Below are 7785 nucleotides of genomic sequence, written 5' to 3'. Positions count from 1 at the left end.
GGTGGAAACACAGGGATGTGCCACTGCGGCTGGCTAATTAAAAAAAATTTTTTTTTTTTGTAGAGATGGAGTCTTGCTGTGTTGCCCAGGCTAGGCTTGAACTCCCGGCCTCAAGCAGCCCTCCTCCCTCAGCCTCCTAAAGTGCTGGGATCACAGGCATGAGCCACTGTGCCTAGCCTGTAGATGCCCTTTATCAGGTTGGAAAATGATAACTTACGCTTAATAGTAATTTTTCTCCTCTCCTCTCCTCTTCTCTCCTTCCCTCTCCTTTCCTCCCCTCTCCTCCCCTCCCCTCCGCCCCCACTTCTTTTTTCTTTTTTCTTTTTTTGAGACAAGGTCTTGCTCTGTCACCCAGGCTGGAGTGCAGTGGTGTGATCTTGGCTCACTGCAACCTCCACCTCCCAGGCTGAAGAGATTCTCTTGCCTTGGTCTCTGAATAGCTGGGACTAGAGGCACGTGCCACCACGCCCAGCTAATTTTTGTATTTCTTTTTTTTTTTTTTTAATTTTTGTATTTTTTGTAGAGATGGGGTTTCACCATGTTGCCCAGGCTGGTCTCGAAATTCCTGAACTTGGGTGATCCGCCCGCCTCGGCTTCCCAAAGTGCTGGGGTTACAAGTGTGAGCCAATATGCCTGGCCGATAATTTTCATATAAGGTCATTTGCACAGTGTTTGGCACAGAATAAGCCATGAGGAATATTCGTTGTCATCATCATCATTGTCATCAACATCCACTTAACCATCTTCTACTGTGGAACATTTAGATATTGCCTCTATTTGATTATTATAAATAGCCCAGTGATGAACATCTGTGCTGATCAATGTGTCCTTTTAAAACCAAACAGGGGCCGGGCACGGTGGCTCACACCTGTAATCCCAGCACTTTGGGAGGCCCAGGCAGGTGGATCACCTGAGGTCAGGAGTTCCAGACCAGGCTGGCCAACACGGCAAAACCCCATCTCTACTAAAAATACAAAAATTAGTCAGGCGTGATGGTGCATGCCTGTAATCCCAGCTACTCGGGAGGCTGAGGCAGGAGAATCACTTGAACGTGGGAGATGGAAGTTACAGTGAGCTGAAACTGCACCACTGTGCTCCAGCCTGGGCGACAGAGCGAGGCTCTATTTAAAAAAACAAAAAACGCTGGGTGCGGTGGCTCATGCCTGTAATCCCAACACTTTGGGAGGCCGAGGTGGGCGGATCACCTGAGGTCGAGAGTTCAAGAACAGCCTGACCAACATGGAGAAACCCCACCTCTACTAAAAATACAAAATTAGCTGGGCTTGGTGGCACATGCCTGTAATCCCAGCTAGTCAGGAGGCTGAGGCAGGAGAATCGCTTGAACCCGGGAGGCAGAGGTTGTGGTGAGCTGAGATTGCACCATTGCACACTCCAGCCTGGGCAACGAGAGCGAAACTTCGTCTCAAAAAAAAAAATTATGCTTTGAAAGACACCATCAAGAAAGTGAGAAGAAAATCTCAGAACAGGGAACCATTTTTACAAATCATATATCTGATCCAGGACTGTATCTAGATATGTAAAGAACTATAACTCAATAATAAAAAGACAAGGATTGCCGGGCGCAGTGGCTCTCGCCTACCATCCCAGCATTTTGGGAGGCTGAGGCGCGCAGATCACGAGGTCAGGAGTTTGAGACTAGCCTGACCAACATGGTGAAACCCCGTCTCTACTAAAAATACAAAAATTAGCCAGGCGCAGTGGCAGGAGCCTGTAATCCAGCTACTCGAGAGGGACAGGGAAGGATCCTAATGCTAAAAGAAAAAAAAAAAAAGAAAGAATGAGGGGACTGCATGGAGAGCTTTTTTTTTTTTTTTTTTTGAGACGGAGTCACGCTCTGTTGCCCAGGCTGGAATGCAGTGGCATAATCTCGGCTCACTGCAACCTCTGCCTCCCAGATTCAAATGATTCTTGTGCCTCAGCCTACCAAGTAGCTGGGACTACAGGCAGCTGTCACCATGCCTGGCTAATTTTTTTTTTTTTTGAGACTGAGTCTTGCTCTATTGCCCAGGCTATAGCACAGTAGTGTGACCTTGGCTCACTGTAACCTCCGCCTTCTGGGTTCAAGCAATTCTCATGCCTCAGCCTCCCGAGTAGCTGGGATTACAGGCGCCCTCCACCACGTCTGGCTAATTTTTGTATTTTTAGTAGAGATGGGGTTTCACCATGTTGGCCAGGCTAGTCTCGAACTCCTGACCTCAGGTGATCCGCTGGCCTTGGCCTGCCAAAGTGCTGGGATTACAGGCATGAGCCACTGCGCCCGGCCCATGCCTGGCTAATTTTTTTGGGGGGATGGAGTTTCTCTCTTATCGCCCAGGCTGGAGTGCAATGGCGCGATCTCGGCTCACTACAACCTCTGGCTCCCGGGTTCAAGCGACTCTCCAGCCTCAGCCTTCCAAGTAGCTGGGATTATAGGCGCCCACCATCACGCCTGGCCAATTTTTTTTTTTTTTTTTTTTTTCAGTAGAGACGAGGTTTTACCACGTCGACCAGGCTGGTCTCAAACTCCTGACTTCAGGTGATCTACCCACCTCGGCCTCCCAAAGTGCTGGATTACATGCATGACCCACCTCGCCCAGCTGCCTGGCTAATTTTTATATTTTTAGTAGAGACGGGGTTTGCCCATGTTGGCCAGGCTGGTCTCAAACTCCTGACCTCAGGTGATCCATCCGCCTCAACGACCCAAAGTGCTGGGATTATAGTCGTAAGCCACCGCGCCCAGCCTCCATGGAGAGCTTTTTTTTGTCGACGATGTTAGGGCCACTGCAGCCAGTATCACCTGTAGGCAGCCCCTGCAGATCCCTGAGTGGCTGCTGGCACAGGGGAGAGAACAGGTGCGGGGCTCAGCAGGGACTAACTCTCTGTCTAAAGGAGAAGGCAGAAATTCTGCCCCCTTGGATCTTGGAGATCTGTTTATGGGTCTGTATCTGCCTGCTAGCCAGCTGCTCGGGGGCCCAGGAGTCTCACTCCTCTCCCAGGGCCTGACCTTTGCAGACAGAGGGGGTGCTGGGAACTAGTGCGATGAATGACAGCACCCAGGACACCGGGGCCTGTGAATCTTCAGCGAGGAGGTGCCCTGGAGCTCAGGGAATCCCAACCACTGCCCGGGGATGACCTACAGGGAGGTGGGAAGTTGGTGGCTGAACCAGTATTAGCACCTAAGTGTCTCACACAGCCTGGCCCTCTCTCCTGGGGCATCTGTGTCTGGGCCTGCAGGAGGAAGCCCCTCAATTGCTCAGGCACACGGAGTGATTTCTTTCTTTAGGGGGCAATTTGTTCTTTTGTTCCCTCTCCTTCTCCCTCTCTTTCCTTTCTGAGAAATCTGATTAGAACTTTGAAAGCTGAGCCGTTTTAGGATCAGGTTGCCACATTTAGCAAATAAAAATAGGGGATGCTGTGTTGAATTTGAATTTCAGATAAACAACAAATAATTCTTGAGTGCAATCATGTTCCTTGCAATATATGGACATAACTTACACTAAAACAATTATTTGTTGTTCATCTGAAATTCACATTTGACTAGGCTTCTTGTATTTTATTTGGCAACCCTACTTTCGGAGCCACGATTCTGTTAACAATTGCTTTTTTTTTTTTTTTTTCAGAGCTGGAGTCTCACTCTGTCTCCCAGGCTGGAGTGCAGTGGCATGATCTTGGCTCACTGCTACCTCCGCCTCCCAGGTTCAAGTTATTCTCCCGCCTCAGCCTCCCAAGTAGTTGGGACCACAGGTGTGTGCCACCATGCCCAGCTAATTTTTGTATTTTGAGATGAAATTTCACCATGTTGGCATTTAATCAATTCTTTTTTTTTTTTTTTTTTTTTTTTTTTATGAGATGGAGTCTTGCCCTGTTGCCCAGGCTGGAGTGCAATGGCATGATCTCGGCTCACTGCAACCTCTGCCTCCTGGGTTCAAGCGATTCTCCTGCCTCAGCCTCCCGAGTAGCTGGGATTGCAGGCACCCACCACCAGGCCCAGCTAATTTTTGTATTTTTAGTAGAGACAAGGTTTCACCATGTTGGTCAGGCTGGTCTAGAACTCCTGACCTCGTGATCTGCCCGTCTCGGCCTCCCAAAGTGCCGGGATTACAGGCGTGAGCCACCGCACCCAGCGCGATTTTACCATGTTGGACAGGCTGGTCTCAAACTCCTGACCTCAAATGATCTGCCACCCACCTTAACCTCCCAAAGTGCTGGGATTACAGGTGTGAGCCACTGCGCCCGACCCGTGTTAGCAATTTCACTTGGTCCCTGTGCAGAAGCTGCAAAGAGAAGACTTTTACTGGGTCAGAAAGGAGGAGGGGGCACAGGAGTCAGTCCAGGTTTCAGGAATTTGGCCCCAAAAGGCAGGAGAACCTCTTGAGGACAGGAGTTTGAAACCAGCCTGGGAAGCATAGTGAGACCCCATTTCTACAAAAATAAAAATTAGCCGGGCATGGTAGCGTGTGCCTGTGGTCCCAGCTACTCAGGAGGCTGAGGCAGGAGAATCATGGATCACTTGAACCTGGGAGGTCGAGGCTGCAGTGAGCTGTGATTACGCCACTGCGCCTCCACCTGGGTGTTAGAGCAAGGCCCTGTCTCTAAAAACAGAAAAAAAAAAAAAAAAAAAAGCAGAGAGAGAAAAGAAAGAAACCCTTCTCTCTGCTGGCTCCCCCAGAACCTAGCTGGGTCCTGCAAAACTAACCCCACTGCCATTTCCCTCTGCCATCTCTCCTTTGAACAATCCCCACGGATCTCTGCTTGGTCCCAGCCTGTCTGAGTTTCCAAGAACAGAAGGAACGATGGCACCTGCTGCAAGATGTTGAGAGATAAATGAGGAAGCCGCTCAGACAGCCAGAAAGACAGGAAACCCTTGGCTGCCTCGAGAGAGGAAATAGGAGCAGGGAGGCAGGGGTGTGGGAGGGGGTTTGGGCCAGCAGCACTGTGATCCCCACCCCCGTCCCCACCACGTGGCTTCACAGGGCAGGCGCCATGAAGGCTCTGAGCAGCAAAGAGCTGCTGACCAAGAAGACATGGATCATGTGCAAGCATGGCCACATGGTTTTGTTTGTTACTGGGCACACGCCTGGCTCCTGTGTGCCCCAGCCCAGCTCAGCTGCATGTAAGATGGGATCCAGCCACCATCTCAGAGCCCCAGAGCAGGGCAGGTAACTGGGTCTGCTCATGAGAGCCAGGGCACACCTCTGGGGAGCCTGGGGCCAGCGCCACATGCCACAGCTGTCACTCTGCTCCTCTGCCAGGCTGCACTTGCCCCTCTGGGTCTCATGTCCCCAGGCAGGGCCCTGCCGGTCTCCTGGATGCCTGCTGCATTAGGCTAATGGAACTGGAGCCTGACCCTTTGCACCAAGGAATTTGGAGCAACTCTGAATCTGGTGGCCTGGGCTCAAACTGGAAAACTCCACCGAACCTTCCATGTCCTCAGTCTCCCTAGGCCTGCACCTACCACACTCTGCCACCACGCCCGGCTAATTTTGTATTTTTAGTAGAGACTGAGTTTCGCCGTTGGGAGGCTCAGGCAGGAGAATCGCTTGAACTTGGGAGGCAAAGGTTGCAGTGAGCGGAGATCACACCACTGCACTCCAGCCCGGGTGACAGAGCGAGATTCTACCTCAAAATAAATAATTAATTAATTAATTAAAAAATAGAAACCTCATAATCTCTCCATTGTCTCTAATCTTATCCCTTGATATTGACTATCAATGTTAATGGCAAGATATGTATCCTTCAGCATCTTTATGCTCATGTAAGTGATCACACATACACACGTAATTTTTCTACCTTTTCTCTTTATTTTTATGAAACAGAGTCTTGCTCTGTGGTTCAGGCTGGAGTACAGTGGCACGATCATAGCTCACAGCACCCTCTACCTGCTGTGCTCAAGTGATCCTCCAGCCTCAGCCTCCGGAGTAGCTGGGACCACAGGCATGCACCACCATGGCTGGCTAATTTTCTAGCTTAATGAAAATGGAGCATATGGTGATCAGTCAGGATTGCATTCAGCTCCTGCAAACCGTGGCTTAAATAAGAAATGAGTTTCACTTTTCTTGGGTGACAGCAGCTCAGGGTTAGATGGTGCAGTCTGCAGCAGCTGCTGAAACACACACTCTCTCTCCTTATGCGCCCTATTTCCAGAGTGTCACTTTGGTCCCCACGGTCATAGATGGCTTCTGCCTTCTAGGCGCTGAGTGCACGGTCGGGGCGAGAGAAGACAAAGGGAAAGAGACATGTATCAGCCAACTCTGATTCAAAGCACAATATGTGCTATGGGAAAACAACAGTTGGCCAGGCATGGTGGCTCACGCCTGTAATCCCAGTGCTTTGGGAGGCTAAGGCAGGAGGATCGCTTGAGGTCAGGAGTTCAAGGCTGCAGTGAGCTATGATCATGCCACCAAACTCCAGCTTGAGTGACAGAATGAGACCTTGTCTAAAAACAAACAAACCAAAAAACGCTCATTGATTTTTGCCTGATTAGAAGTGTAATATGTGCTAATTTTAGAAAAATGTAAAAAAAAAAAAAGGAAAAAGAAAAGTATACAAAGAGAAAAGCATGAGGAAAAAATAAAAACACTCATAATCCCACTACTGAAAGATAATTACTACTTATATTTCTACACTGCCTTCCACTCTTTCTTCTACACTTGCTTTTTTTTTGAGATGAAGTCTTGCTCTCTTGCCCAGGCTGGAGTACAATGGCTCAATCTCAGCTCACTGTAAACTCTACCTCCCAGGGTCAAGCAATTCTCATGCCTCAACCTCTCCATTAGCTGGGATTACAAGCATGTGCCACCAGGCCTGGCTAATTTTTGTATTTTTAAAAAAATTAATTATTTATTTTTTTGAGACAGAGTCTCAAATTTTTTCTTTTTCTTTTCTTTTTTTTTTTTTTTTAATAGAGACGGGTTTCGCCATGTTGGCCAGGCTGGTTTTGAACTTCTGACCTCAAGTGATCCACCTGCCTCAGCCTCCCAAAATGTTGGGATTATAGATGTAAACCACTGCGCCCGGCCCCAAACAGAAACTCTTTACCCATTAAACGCTAACTCTCCATATCCCCTTCTCCTGATCTCTAGTTGCCTTTATTCTATTTTCTGTCTGTGTGAATTTACCTTTTCTAGATATATCACATAAGTGGGATTATACAATTGTTCCTTTTTTTTTTTGAGACGGAGTTTTACTCTTGTCACCCAGGCTGGAGTGTAGTGGCTTGATCTTGGCTCACTGCAACCTCTGCCTCCCGGGTTCAAGTGATTTTCCTGTCTCACCTTCCCAAGTAGCTGGGATTACAGTTGCCTGCCACCATGCCCGGCTAATTTTTTTTTTTTTTTTTTTGTATTTTTAGTAGAGACGGTATTTCACTGTGTTGGCCAGGCTGGTCTCGAACTCCTGACCTCAGGTGATCCACCCGCCTCGGCTTCCCAAAGTGTTGGGATTACAGGCGTGAGCCACTGTGCCCGGCCATTGAATTGTTCTTGATGGCTTATTTCCCTTAGCAATGGGCTTATGGCCTCCTGGGAAGACAACATGGTCACTTTTACTTCCTGGCCCTGACAGCCAACCCAAGTATCTTAGTCCATATGGGTTGTTACAACAAAAATACCATACACTGGGGGGTGACTTATAAACAACAAGCGTTTTCTTCTTACAGTTCTTTTTTTTTTTTTTTGAGACAGAGTCTCGCCTTGTCGCCCAGGCTGGAGTTCAGTGGCTCAGTCTTGGCTCACTGCAATCTCTGCCTCCCAGGTGCAAGCGATTCTCCTGCCTCAGCCTCTCGAG

General features: G+C 48.8%; 2 annotated features.

Moving 5' to 3' along the window:
- Positions 4546–5110: an enhancer, noted in NCBI's record as "H3K27ac-H3K4me1 hESC enhancer chr7:74031728-74032292 (GRCh37/hg19 assembly coordinates)". NCBI's record gives its function as "activates a minimal SCP1, AML or CMV promoter by ChIP-STARR-seq in naive H9 embryonic stem cells {active_cell/tissue: H9 hESC(naive)}" and the evidence as "EXISTENCE:reporter gene assay evidence [ECO:0000049][PMID:30033119]".
- Positions 5111–5676: an enhancer, noted in NCBI's record as "H3K27ac-H3K4me1 hESC enhancer chr7:74031162-74031727 (GRCh37/hg19 assembly coordinates)". NCBI's record gives its function as "activates a minimal SCP1, AML or CMV promoter by ChIP-STARR-seq in naive H9 embryonic stem cells {active_cell/tissue: H9 hESC(naive)}" and the evidence as "EXISTENCE:reporter gene assay evidence [ECO:0000049][PMID:30033119]".

The sequence above is a fragment of the Homo sapiens genome, chromosome 7 (genome assembly GCF_000001405.40).
Source record: "Homo sapiens chromosome 7, GRCh38.p14 Primary Assembly".
In the NCBI taxonomy this organism is placed as follows: Eukaryota; Metazoa; Chordata; class Mammalia; order Primates; family Hominidae; genus Homo; species Homo sapiens.
Note: the sequence above shows the minus strand (reverse complement) of the source record. Positions and strands in the feature narration are given on the sequence as shown.